Here is a 13916-nt window from a genome sequence, read left to right on the forward strand (position 1 = left end):
CACAGGAACCAGCCTCCCAGGGCTTAGGGCAGAGAGGGACAGGATTATGGGGAAGGGGGTTGAGGGAGGGAGCATCACTAGCACACGGATGGGTGGGGTGGTGATTTGAAGGGGTAAAGGGAAAATCAGCAGCACAGGCGAAGTGCTGATGTGGTGATAACCATATTTGTATGAACTCTTCTGCTAGGAACAGAACGCCTGGAAACATACTGACTTTGTATTCTTGGTGCTTGCTTTAAAAATCAAACAACTTTGCTTGCTAAGTTGCCAGGACCGAGAAGGGGGCAGAAAGGAGGAGGAGACCTCCTTGGAAGATAGTTGAATCTGAAGGAGGTGAAGGGATGAGCCATGTGTTTGTCTGGGGGAAGAGTGTCCAGGCAGAGGAACTACCGGGATGAAGGCTGGGAGGCAGGAGGATGCCTGTCACGATTGAGAAACAGCCAGGAGACCAGTGTGGCTAGAAAGGACTAAGTGAAAGGGTCGGGGTAGGAGGGGAGACGAGGTCAGAGAGGAAATAGCTGGGTAATAGACAAGGTCAGCCATAGTAAAGCACTTTGGGTTTTACTCTGAATGAGTTGAGAAGTCATTGGAAGGCTCTGTTAGGAAGAGGCATAATCTAACTTATGTTTAACAGGATCCCTCTGGCTGTTGTGTGGTGAATGCACTACAGGAGGTGGAGGTGAGAACAAAAGGGGATAAGAATTTGGGATTTAGCAGCATTTCCCTCCCTCCCTCCCTCCTTTCCTTCCTTCCTTCTTTCCTACCTTCCTTCCTTCTTCCTTTCTTTCTCTTCCTTCCCTTCCCCTCTTCTTTCTCTTCCTTTTCTTCTCCTCCCCCTTCCCCTCCTCTTTTTCTTCTTTCAGGTGTTTTTTTTGCCTTTTTTTTTTTTTTTTTTTTTTGAGACAGGATCACTCTGTTGCCCAGGCTGGAGTGCAGTGGCGTGATCTTGGGTCACTGCAACCTCTGCCTCCCCGGTTCAAGCAATTCTCCTGCTTCAGCCTCCCAAGTACCTGGGATTACAGAAACGCGACACCATACCTGGCTAATTTTTGTATTTTTAGTAGAGATGGGGTTTCACCATGTTGGTCAGGCTGGTCTCGAACTCCTGACCTCAGGTGATCTGCCCACCTCGGCCTCCCAAAGTGCTTGGATTACAGGCATGAGCCATTGCGCCCGGCCTCATCTTGCAGTTTTATTGACTCACAACAAACTGCAGAGTGAGGAGATAACTGCAATAATGTAGACAAAAGATGATGGTGGCTTGGACTGGGGTGGTTGTAGTAATGAGAAGAGGTCAAGTTCTAGCTTTGCTCTGAAGGTTGGGCCAGTGGGATCTGCTTACAGATCAGATGTGGAGGTGAGAGAAGGAGGAGAGTTAAGAGTTAGTCAAGGATTACTCCCAGGTTTGTTGGAAGGAGTAATGAAGTTGTCCTGGAGGGATGAAGTTGTCAGATACTGAGATGGGGAAGAATGGGTTTGGAGGGAGGGGGAAAGTCATGAGTTTAGTGGAGGTATGTTAAGTTTTACGTGTCCATTACACATGCAAGTGCAGATGTTGAGTAGGTGATTAGATGTAGACAAGGCTGGAGTAGAGAAGACAGCATGTTTATTTGTTTGCTTTACAGCTTTATTGAGGTGTAATTGAAATAAAACAAACTGCAAGTATATAAATATTGTACAGTGTACAACTTGAGAAAGTTTTTTTTTTTTTTCTTTTTTTTTTTTTTCAGCTGGAGTCTCACTCTGTCACCAGGCTGGAGTGCAGCGTTATGATCTTGGCTTACTGCAACCTTTGCCTCCCTGGTTCAAGTGATTCTCCTGCCTTAGCCTCCCAAGTAGCTGGGACTACAGGCGCACGCCACCACGCCCAGCTAAGTTTTGTATTTTTAGTAGAGACAGGGCTTCACCATGTTGGCGAGGACGGTCTAGATCTCTTGACCTCGTGATCTGCCTGCCTTGGTCTCCCGAAGTGCTGGGGTTACAGGTGTGAGCTACCGCGTCTGGATGATAAGTTTTGATATATGTTTATACCCATGAAATCGCTCCCAAAAGCTTCCTTGTGCCCCTGTGTGATCCCCTCCACCATATTCCCACTTCCCTGCCCCCTCCATATCCCAAGCAGCCATTAATCTGCTCTTCATCATTGTAAATTAGTTTACACTTTCTAGCATTTTATACAAATAGAATCATACAGCATGTACTCTTTCTAAAATCTGACTTCTTTCACTCAAACTATTTTGAGATTTATGCATGTTGTTGCCTGCGTCCATGGTTCATTCCTTTCCTTTTTTTTTGGATGATGTATAGCGTTCTATGGCTCATATATATGTGTGGATTTGTTTCTGGACTCTATTTTATTCCATTGATCCATTGTTGATTTGTCACCAATGGCATGCTGTCTCAATTACTGTAGCATTATAACAAGTCTTACAGTCAGGTAATGTAAGTCATTCAACTTTGTTCTTCCTCTTCCTTTGTTCTTTCTTCTAAAGTTGTTTTTTCTTTGTTCTTTGAATTTCCGTGTGGCTGTTAGAATCAGCTTATCAATTCACAAAAATAAAGTCTGATGGGATTTTAATTACAGTTGCATTGACTCTACAGATTAATTACAGGATAACTGATAGCTTAATATTTAGCGCTGTGATCCATGAAGGTGGTCTCTCTCTCTCTCTCTCTCTCTCTCTCTCTCTGCAGTACAGGCATTTTAGTATTTTAAATTTGTGTCTAAATACTGCTTTGGATGCATACTATTGATTTTAATATATGGTGTTTAATTTTTATTCAATTTAAAGTACTTTCTAATTTCCTTATTGATTTTTTTAACCTATTTGTGATTTAAGAGTGTGTTATCTTGTTTCTAAATATTAGAGGTTTTTCCAAATGTCTTTCTGTTTCATTTCTAATTTAATTCTATTGTGGTGAGAGAACATAACTTTGTATGGCAAATACTTTTAAATGTATTGAAATTTATTGTTTAACGAATATGGTCTTCTTAGTAATGTTCTGTGTGCACTTGGAAAGAATGTGAGTTCTGCTGTTGTTGGGTGGAGTGTTTCAGAAATGTCCGTTAGGACACTTCAGTTAATAAAGCTGCTCAAATCTTCTATTTCCTTACTTATTTTTATGTCCATTTAGCCTATCAATTTTTGAGAGATTGGTGTTGATATCTTTGAAGTCTTTAATTGTGAATTCGTCTGTCTGTTTCTTCTTGCAGTTCTATTGGTTTTTGCTTCATGGATTTTGAAGCTGTCTTATTGGATGCATAAATATCATGTCTTTATGAATTCATCCCTTTATTATTATAAACTGACCCTGTTTATTACAGGTAATATCCTTTGCTCTGAAATCTACTATGTCTGATATTAACATAATTACTTCACCTTTCTTTGGTGTTTGTATTATTGTTTGACTAGTGTTTGCATCTTTTTCCCTTTTACTTTTAACCCACTTGTGTCTTTATATTTAAAGTGTATTTTTTATAGGCAGCATGTATTTAGGTTTTGCTTTTTTATTCAATCAGATAACCTTTGCCTTTTAATCAGAATGTTTAGACCAATTCCCTTTGGTGTAATTATTGATATGGTTGGATTTTAATCTACCATCTTGATATTTTCTACTTATTCTTTTTTAAAAACAGCTTTATTGATATATAATTCACATACTTAACAATTCACCCACTTAAAGAGTAAATTCAGTGACTGTTACTATATTCAAAAGTTGTGCATCTATCACCCCAGTCAATTGTAGAACGTTTTTCTTACCCCAGAAGAAACTCCACATGCCTTATTCATCACTTATCCCTCATTTTCCCTATCCCGGCCATAAACAACCACTAATCTATTTCTTGTCTCCATGTATCTGCTTATTTTTGACATTTCATATACATAAAATCATACAATATGTGGTCCTTTGTGATTTTCTTTCTTTTTACTTATCGTAATGTTTTCATGCTTTGTCCTTGTTGTATGTATCCATACTTCATTCGTTTTTTATTGCCAAATAATATTACATTTTATAGATACAACATTTGTTCATCTGCTCATCAGTTGATAGGCATTTGTGTCTTTTTGGTTAGTTTAAATAATACCACTGTGCACATTCATGTACAAGTTCATGCATGGATATGTGTTTTAATTTCTTTTGAGTATATACTAGGAGTAGAATTGGTGGATCACATGGTAACTCTATGTTTAGCCTTTTAGTAACAACCAAACTTTGTTTTCTGAAGGAGCTGCACCATTTTCCATTCCCACCAGCAGTTTATGGGGGTTCCAATTTCTCCACATTCTTACTGATACTTGTTTTTATCTGTCTTTTTAATTATATATTATATGTTCTATTATATATTATGCTTCCATGATGACTAATGATGTTGGGCATCTTTTCATGTGCTTATTGATCACTTGTATATCTTTTTTGGATAAATGTCCATTCAAATCATTTGCTTATTTATTTATTACTTTTTTGAGACGGAGTTTCGCTCTTGTTGCCAGGCTGGAATGCAATGGCGTGATCTCGGCTCACTGCAACTTCCGCCTCCCGGGTTCAAGTGATGTCCGCCACCACACCTGGCTAAATTTTGTGTTTTTAGTAGAGACAGGGTTTCACCATGTTGGCTAGGCTGGTTTTGAACTCCTGACCTCAAGTGATCTGCCCGCCTCAGCCTCCCAAAGTGCTGGGATTACCGGCATGAGCCACTGAGCCTGGCCTATTTGCTTATCTTTTAATTATTGAGTTGTAATAATAGTTCTTTATGTATCCTGGATATAAATCTCTCATCATATATATGATTTGCAATTTTTCTCTCATTCTGTGGATTGTCTTTTCACTTTCTTGATGGTGTTCTATGAAGCACAAAAGTTTTTAATAAGTCCAACTTATCTATTTTTTCTTTATTGCCTTGCTTCTATTTGTTCTTTTTGTTTATATTTCCCTTTTTCTGCCTTCTTTTGGATCCATTCGAATATTTTATAATTCCACTTTATCTCCTTTGTTGACTTAGCTGTATTAGTTTCATAGGCTATTGTGATATATTGCCACAAACTTTGTGGCTTAAAACAACACAAATTTATTCTCTTATAGTTCCAGAGGCCAGAAGTCCAAAATGGGTCTCACTCAGCAGGGCTGTATTTTCTCTAGAGGCTTAAGGGGAGAATTCTCCAGTTTTTAGAGCTTCATTCCTTGCATTCCTTGGCTCCTAGGCCCTCTCCTCCATCTTCAAAGTCCACAGCATAGCATCTTCAAGTCTCTCTCTGCTGAGGTTGTCACATTGCTTTCTCTCTTCTGTAGTAGAATCTCCTTCTGCCTCCCTCTTGTAAGGACACTTGTGATTGCTTTTAGGGCCCACTTACATAATCCAGGATAACCACTCCATTTTAAGACCTTTAACTTAATCGCTAAAATTGTTAAGACCTTTTCCCCCTTTACAAGGTAATATTCATAGGTTCCAATGATTAGAACCTGGATATCTTTGCGGGCCATTGTTCTGTCTACCACATTGTCTAGACATTCAGTCTAGAGTTAAAGCTACTCTTTTAGTTTTATGTCTTTGCTGTGTCATTTTTGTCATTGCTTTGGGGTTTATGGTACATTTCTTTAACTTAGTACAGTCTATCTTCAAGTGTTATTATACCACTTTATGTATAGTATAAGAACTTTATACCATCACACTCCCATTTCTCCTCTACTATCATTGTCATACATTTCACTTATAAACTCTACAATGTAAATGTTTTTTTTTTCTTTCTTTCTTTCTTTTGAGATGGAGTTTTTTGCTCTTGTCACCCTGGCTGGAATGCAATGGCCCGATCTGGGCTCACTGCAACCTCTGCCTCCTGGGTTCAAGCAATTCTCCTGCCTCAGACTCCCAAGTAGCTGAGATTACAGGTATGTGCCACCACGCCCGGCTAATTTCATATTTTTTTTAGTAGAGACAAGGTTTCACCATGTTGGTCAGGCTGATCTCAAACTCCTGACCTCAAGTGATCCACTGGCCTCTGCCTCCCAAAGTGCTGGGATTACAGGCATGAGCCACCGTGCTTAGCTACAATGTAAATGTTGTAAACTCTACAATACATAATTTTTGTTATATAAAGTTATTTATCTTTCAAAGAAAATTAAATAATGAGAGAAATATATTTACTTATCCACTTAGTTACCATTTCTAGTGCTCTTCATTTCTTTGTGTTGATCCAGATTTCCATCTGGTATCATCTTCTTTCTGCCTGAAGGACATCCTTTAACATATCTTGTATAGTGAAGCTCTTCTGGCAACAAATTCTTTCAAGCTTTTGAATATCTGAAAAAAATATTTATTTTGTCTTTATTTTTAAAAGATATTTTTGCTGTGTAAAGTATTCTAGTTTGACAGGTGTTTTTTTTTTTCTTTCAGAACTCTACCAGCTTGAATTGTTACCTACAAGAAATCTATCATTTTAATCCTTGATTCTTTGTATATACTGTGTCTTTTTTTTTTTTCCTGGCTGCTTCTAAGGTTTTCTGTTTATCCCTAGTTGTAAGCAATTTAGTTATGGTATCTTTGGTGTCATTTTCCTCATGTTTATTGTTATATGAGGTTGGTTGAACTTCTTAGATCTATAGGTTTGTAATTTTCATCAAATGTGGAAAAATTCAGCCATTATTTCTTCAAATATTTTTTCTGTCTCCTCCTCACTTCTGAAGACGAGCAGGATCAAGGAAAGACACTACAAAGGAAAATATCAAGAGAAGGCAGTACAAAGGAAAATGTACTAAGCTTCTTACATTTTAGAGATGCACATTTGCATAGTCAGGCCTTTAATCTAGGAAAATAATAACCCAGAGCTTGCTCCATGCCTGGTACCTGGTTAAATGTAATCTCAATGAACTCTTCCAACACCTTAGTGGGAATGGCTTTGGATGGATAGGAGAAGGACTGGGATGGAAAGGAATGAGTAATGATTAAAGGTACAAGCTTTCGGCTCTAGCTCTGCATGTCACCTGCTGTTTGACTGAGTAATTCACATCGCCTCTCTGGCTTTCACTTCCTCACCTATACAAATGAGGTGAGTAATAGTGTAACTGGCCAAGTCCAGCTGCTCACCGCTTGGAGGCCAAAAACACAAGAAGCAAGTTGTGGTGAAAGGAAAGCAACTTTATTCAAATGCTAGCAGTTGGGGAATGGACAGGCCCATGCCTCTGAAAGACCATTCTAACTTTTTGGGCTGAGTGAAGGGGTTTAAGAAGGAAAAAGGTGAGAGAAACGCGGGAGTGGTGCAGCAGGAGGTCTTGTTATCTTGAGTCATCGCCTGTCTGGAGGACCGGTTTGCATCATGCTGACTGCGGTAGTGGTGGGCTAACTGCTCCTAACTCCCCCTAATCAGAGGGTTCCACAGCTGGGTCTCTCTGCCTGGCTTGTTTCAAAATCGATCCCTGGAATTTCTAAGCAAGCACATAATTAGATAAGCGAGTACTGTTCATAGAAGTGGCTGGTGGGAAAAGGCAAAACAAAAAGTTTCAAAGTATGTTTCAAGGCTGGAAGCAAGAAGGGAAAAATGTTTTAAAACGCAGTTTGAGGCTGGGATACTTGGTTACAATAGTACTTATTTTACAGGGTTAGGGGACAAAGCACTCGAATGTTTGCTGTTATTACTATTATTTTTTTGTTTGCCAATATTTGAAATATCCCTCTTCCTTACTAACTCAATTCTTCCTTAACATCGATTAAAGCGATATATGTTGCTCAGCTGTGACAGACTCTACTGATTGAGGATTGAGCCAGGGTCTGTTTATTTCCTTTTTCAGATCCACGTCTCTGGAGCTATCCCTGGGATATGGAGGTTTTCAGGATTAATAACTGGATGAGATACCAGCTCAGATCAGCCTCAGTCTCCTTTTCCCATCTTGCTTTTCTCCCCTCCTCTTCTCCACTCTGTTGCCTCTGGATTTTCCAGGGTAGAGCCCGAGAGCACAAGGGGAGACGTTAAGAGGCAGAGGAGGTCTCACATGACAGCAGTGATTTCGGACTTATGCTCTTGTGACCAGCTTGTGCCCCAAAGCTTCTCACTCCCAAGGCCTACTGTGGGTTCCCTAATGATTCTCCCACTGATGAATCCCACTGATTCCCTGATCCCACAGTGTTTTTTCTTAAGATTCCTCTTGATCTTCTGCATTTTATGATATGCCTCCAGCCTCTTTCTGTGGAGACATCTGACTTGTGAAAATCCTTTATCTTGCCCCATCTTGGTGTCAGAGCAGTCTGCTCCCTGGGAGCCCTTGCCCCTGCCTCCCACTTAGATGTACATATCCCTCCAGCCTCTACTTTTAACTTCTTGGGGCATGAGGCAGATGTCAGCCCCTTGCCCCCAAACTCCAGAGCCTCAATAAGCTCATCTGGTGACAGTCTGGAGACCCCTCATTTGGTATGTGAAACCCCTCCTGTAGTAACCCCTCCTATGCCTTTCCTTACAGAGAAAGTCCACAGTACTAGGACAGCTGTCGCCAAAGGAATTGTCACTTCTCAATGGTGTACCAAGAGCAGGGCAGTGGGAGGTTCTACCTACGGTGTAGGAAATAATTTAGAATTGCAAAGTCCGTAAAGACCTTTAAAACAATAATAAAATCAACCAAAAGTTGGTCTTTTAAAAATTGTTACTGGGTGCTGGCAATTCTAAACAATGACAGCAACAAAATTCTCCTGCCCCTAAAAATCATGTGTGGGTCTAAGTCCTAAATAACTGCTACAGTTAATGTTGAGCTTTTATGATACACATTTTGGCTTCAAATTGGCATATTTCGATTCAGAGAACTCCTTGCTATACAATCATCCCCTGAAACTCACAGACTCAGTTACACTCATTTATTTTGTGAATAAGTTTCTATAGGTTTGGAAAAGTTTGGGCTTGTTTTGGGTAAAGTTCTCATCTCCAGCTCCTGTGGTATAATATATTCTTGCATTTGAACAATGGTTCAAAATAAGTGATGATAGTGCAGTGATTGCAAAGACAAAGAAATGGAACTTGAGTTACTTCAGTTTTGTTATTCCGTGTGACTTTTTTGGAATTTTAATTTGTGTTTAAAAGCTAAGGCAGTGGCCGGGCGCGGTGGCTCACACCTGCAATCCTAGCAGTTTGGTAGGCCAAGGCAGGCAGATCACGAGGTCAGGAGTTCGAGATCAGCCTGATCAACATGGTGAAACCCCGTCTCTACTAAAAATACAAAAATTAGCTGGGTGTGGTGGCATGTGCCTGTAATCTCAGCTACTCAGGAGGCTGAGGCAGGAGAATCGCTTGAACCAGGGAGGCAGAGGTTGCAGTGAGCCTAGATGGCACCATTATATTCCAGCCTGGGCAACAGAGTGAGACTCCATCTCACAAAATAAATAAATAAATAAATAAATAAATAAATAGATAAATAAAAAATTAAGGCAGTGATGTCCATCAATGGATGAATGGATAAACAAAAGTGGTGTATCTATACAACAGAATATTATTAAGCCTTAAAAAGAAGGGAAATTCTGACACATGCTGCCATACAAATGAACCTTAAAGACATGCTAAGTGAAATAAGCCAGTCACAAAAAGACGATAGTATATGACCCTGCTAATGTAAGGTACCTAGAGTAGTCAAATTCATAGAGACAGAAAGTAGAACTGTGGTTGCCAGGGACTGGAGGGAGGGGGAAGCAGGTATAGAGTTTTATAATGAATATAGAGTTTCCATTTTGCAAGATAAAAAAGTTCTGGGGATTGGTTGCACAACCATGTGATCATACTTAACACTACTGTATTGTACACTTAGAAGTGGTTAAGATGGGCTGGGCGCTGTGGCTCACGCCTGTAATCACAGCACTTTGGGAGGCCGAGGCGGGTGGATCACGAGGTCAGGAGATCAGGACCATCCTGGCTAACACGGTGAAACCCCATCTCTACTAAAAATACAAAAAATTAGCTGGGCGTGGTGGCGAGTGCCTGTAGTCCCAGCTACTCGGGAGGCTGAGGAAGGAGAATGGCATGAACCCGGAAAGGGGAGCTTGCAGTGAGCCGAGATCGCGCCACTGCACTCCAGTCGGGGCGACAGAGCGAGACTCCATCTCAAAAAAAAAAAAAAGAAGTGGTTAAGATGGTAAATTTTACAGGCCGGGTGCGGTGGCTCACACCTCTAATCCCAGCACTTTGGGAGGCCAAGGCGGGTGGATCACGAGGTCAAGAGTTTGAGAACAGCCTGACCAACATGGTGAAACCCCGTCTCTACTAAAAATACAAAAAATTACTCAGGCATGGTGGCAGGTGCCTGTAATCCCAACTACTCGGGAGGCTCGGGCAGGAGAATCGCTTGAACCCAGGAGGTGGAGGTTGCAGTGAGCTGAGATCACACCATTGCCCTCCAGCCTGGGCGACAAGAGTGAGAATCCATCTAAAAAAAAAAGATGGTAAATTTTATGTTATTATTTTTTTCTTTTTCTTTTCACCTGCCTCAGCCTCCCAACGTGCTAGGATTTAGAGGTGTGAGCCACTGCGCCCGGCCATGTTATGTATTTTTTAACCACAATTTTTAAAACATGTAAAGCAGCTTGACCAGCAAGGTGATCCAAACAATATTTTTGTTTGGCAAATGCAAACTTTAGTTCATACATGTAATATGTTACCAAATTAGAATAATATCTTTAAGATTGAAATTTATTCTTTGTGTTGGTTTGAGTCCTCCAAACCAAGATAAAATTAGACATGAAGAGATCTCTTTCTTGGGGAAATCGTCTGTGATGGACAAAGGAGAGGAAGCTGGAGTAGACAAGGACAGCCTCCCACTGTGATGACATCTGGGAGAGGACGGAGTGAGGGCCAGGGAGCAGGCATCCCAGATCAAAGCACGGCGCTAACAAAGTTCCAGCCAGCCTGATCGGGAGTCTTTGAGTCCATGATGCCAATTAGGCCAGGTACAGTGGCTAATGCCTGTGATCCCAACACTTTGAGAGGCTAAGGCAGGAGGAGCGCTGAAGGGTAGAGTTCCAGACTAACATGGGCAACATAGCGAGACCCCCATTTCTACAGAAAAACAAAAAACAAAAAACAAAACAAAACAAAAAACAGAGAGAGAAAGAAAAAAAAAAATTAGCCAGGCATGGTGGCATGCATCTGTAGTCCCAGCAACTCTGGAAGGTGAGGTAGGAAGATTGATTGAGCCCAGGAATTCAAGGCTGCATTGATCTATGATCGTGCCACTGCACCGCACTCCAGCCTGGGCAGCAGAGTGTGATCCTGTCTCAAAAAAGTAAAAATAAACTCTCCCTTCCAAAAAAAAAAAAGAACAGAGTTTCCAATTAGATGTGTCCCCTGGGGCCATTTCTCTCTCCACACAAAATAGATGACCAGCCACACCACCACTCACAACTCTGCCAGTTGGGAAGCTTTCCCTCTCTACTGTCTTTCACTACCTTTCGTGAAGTGGTTGTAATGCAGCCACTGTCCATTTTTGGCTTCCAAGCCAGCCCATCTGTAAACTGAGCTCAAGCCTTTGCCTTCTCTTCCAGGTGGTCATGAACTCCCCAAGCCCCTGCAAATATAGTGATAAATTTGAGCTGGGGGAGGGATCCTGGTGCAAATGTGGTGGGTGCCATGTTGGTCTGGGCTACCTGCTCATGCAGCTTACTCATGCTTTCTGGTCCTGCTGGAGCCCAATGCTGGATTAACCATTTCCATTTGCAATGGACTGAGGCTGGGCCTGTCCTGCTTAATAACTCAGCTGGTAGAGGGCAGGACTGGATGCATGGTCACTTGGTACCCCATATATCCAGCGTTCTGTCTCTACCAGGGTATAGTAACAGGCCAGGAGTTATTTCTCAAAAGACACGTAATTCTCTGCTGTGGATTGTATGGTCTTGTTTCAGAATCCTGGGTCCTTTATTGTGATTCTCCTGCTGGGTCTTGCTTTAAGATTCCTGCTGCATCTTTTTTCACCACTGACACCCCCAATGCCATAGAGTCTGTTGTATCACACAGCCCAGTTGGCAGGGCTGTTTGCATCATAGCCTCGAATTGCTACAGAGCCCATTCTTGCTCTGGGTTCACTTGGAGCTGGCATCTATTTATGTCACCTGGGGATAGCATCCATTTGTGTCACCTTGTATATGGACATATTAAGTATTGCTAAATGTGGTCTGCATTGTCCCTAGAACCTAAAGAGGCCTACCACCAGAGAGAAGGTGGTAGGGCTCCAGCTCTCTGCTGTCATCTCCAGTGATTCTATTCTGGCCCCAACCTTGTGCACCCTGAGCAGCAAAACAAAAACCCTCCCTCAGATCCAGGGAGTGCCTGTCAATGCTAATGCATGCCCCTTGCAGGGGAAGGGGGCTGACCCGCTCCCCAAGCACTTCATCACAGCTTGCTTTCTAAGCACATCCAGAGTTCACCCTCCCTAGGAGAAGTCTCCCCGTCCTGCCCTCTGTCCTCTTTCATCCCCATGGGGAGCAGAGAGAGAGCTCCTGTGTTGCCTCCCTGATCCTTACCATGTCCCACATCAGCGTAGAAGTTAACAGCATGGACTTTGGGTTCCACCGGAGCTTGATTCCATTCTTGAGTGGAATGGAACCTAAGCTACTCCATTCCTTGGTTTTCTGATCTGTAAGATGACGGCAATAATACCAACTGTACCAGATTGTTTTGAGGATTTAAGGAGATGACTACGATGCACAGTGTGACGCATGATGTTGCTGTCATCACCCCAGGTTCCAGCGGCTTGTTTAGAGGCTGTTTCACTCATTTAATTGGAAGCTCCTTGAAGATCAGAATGGTCTTTTCCAGACATTCCCCCTAGGATACTAAGGACACAGTAGATATTCAGTAACTATTTAGGGATGTCTCTTGAATGTATACCCATTTTTATCAGCCACGTTTTTTTCCTTCCAGAAATGCAGGATGTTAATATCTGAGAGGAGCTGCTGTTAGCATGTAGGAAGCACCAGGTGGTGAACAGAGCAGGGGCCTCCCAGTGGGACAGGGGAAGAAGGACACTATGATAAATCGTGTTAATTTTCTAGGCCCCAGTTTCCTTATTGGGAGAATGGAGAGATTGATAGATACCATTACAAGGTTGTGGCGAAGGTTTTCATAAACTATGCTTAACACGCTGCCAAGGACACAGTAAGGGCTGAGAAACAGCAGCTGCTATTATTACTATCAATTTAAGAGTTATTGTTAAAGAAGTGAAACTGAACGCGCTTAGGTGTGCGCTCAAAGCCAGCAACCTGGCTGGGTCCGCACGGAGACAGGCGGGGCAGCGCGGGGAGGGGCCACCGGAAGCCCCACCCCTTTCCTCGCGTCCGGTCGCCCGGGCAACGCGCCACCGCGTCGCAGCCGGAGTGACGCGTGGCCGCCGGCACCCGGAGCTCCTGGGCACACGGCATTGGCAGGGGCCGCTTCGGCAGAGTGATGACTGATGATGAGTCCGAGAGCGTCCTCTCCGACTCCCATGAAGGGTCGGAGCTGGAGCTGCCTGTTATCCAGCTGTGCGGGCTGGTGGAGGAGCTCAGGTACCGCCGCCCGCGCCTGGGGGCCGCCCCTCTTCCTCCTAGGCCCTCCTCTCCGGGCGGCCTCGGACTTGGGGACCAGCATGGAGAAGATCCAAGCCCTCACTGAGCACTGGGGAGACTTTTCCTCTTTACTCCTTACTCCACCACCACTGAGCCAACAAGCTGTTGGTGGAGCTAGAACGGGGTGGTAGGGCGAGGGGATGGGGCCGGTGGTGAGAAGCCCAGAGGGTAATTGGGGAAGTGAGGGTTTCAGCCGGAGGAGTCTCTCTCATGCCAGACGGTGTGCTTAGCCGATCCACAATTCTACAGCAGCAATTTGGACCAGGTGACTTCTAAGCCCTTTTCTGATGCTAAGATTCTATGATAAGGCTGGGCGCGGTGGCTCACGCCTGTAATCTCAGCACTTTAGGAG

General features: G+C 42.9%; 1 protein-coding gene and 1 long non-coding RNA gene across 3 annotated transcripts in view, besides 3 other annotated features; one reads left to right on the forward strand and one right to left on the reverse strand.

Annotated features, from left to right (window-relative positions):
• Positions 1 to 1961: 1961 nt before the first annotated feature.
• On the reverse strand, positions 1962 to 13248 carry LOC105371293 (uncharacterized). The gene is made up of 4 exons (XR_933630.2): positions 13056 to 13248; positions 12482 to 12793; positions 6159 to 6298; positions 1962 to 2000 (listed from the first exon to the last, which is right to left on the reverse strand). It is a non-coding gene; the product is annotated as an uncharacterized LOC105371293 (long non-coding RNA).
• Positions 6897 to 6956: an enhancer, noted in NCBI's record as "active region_10923". NCBI's record gives its function as "activates an Ori minimal core promoter by ATAC-STARR-seq in GM12878 lymphoblastoid cells {active_cell/tissue: GM12878}" and the evidence as "EXISTENCE:reporter gene assay evidence [ECO:0000049][PMID:35858748]".
• Positions 9500 to 9559: an enhancer, noted in NCBI's record as "active region_10924". NCBI's record gives its function as "activates an Ori minimal core promoter by ATAC-STARR-seq in GM12878 lymphoblastoid cells {active_cell/tissue: GM12878}" and the evidence as "EXISTENCE:reporter gene assay evidence [ECO:0000049][PMID:35858748]".
• Positions 13156 to 13635: a silencer, noted in NCBI's record as "silent region_7548". NCBI's record gives its function as "represses an Ori minimal core promoter by ATAC-STARR-seq in GM12878 lymphoblastoid cells {active_cell/tissue: GM12878}" and the evidence as "EXISTENCE:reporter gene assay evidence [ECO:0000049][PMID:35858748]".
• The window catches only part of CFAP263 (cilia and flagella associated protein 263), a 33901-nt gene continuing 33309 nt past the window's right edge, over positions 13325 to 13916 (forward strand). For both annotated transcript variants that reach the window (NM_014157.4, NM_001142302.2), the window contains exon 1: positions 13325 to 13504. In NM_014157.4, the coding sequence (NP_054876.2) occupies positions 13404 to 13504 (101 nt within the window). In that variant the 5' untranslated portion in view covers positions 13325 to 13403. The remainder of the gene's footprint in view (positions 13505 to 13916) is intronic.

The sequence above is a fragment of the Homo sapiens genome, chromosome 16 (assembly GCF_000001405.40).
Source record: "Homo sapiens chromosome 16, GRCh38.p14 Primary Assembly".
Classification (NCBI taxonomy): domain Eukaryota; kingdom Metazoa; phylum Chordata; class Mammalia; order Primates; family Hominidae; genus Homo; species Homo sapiens.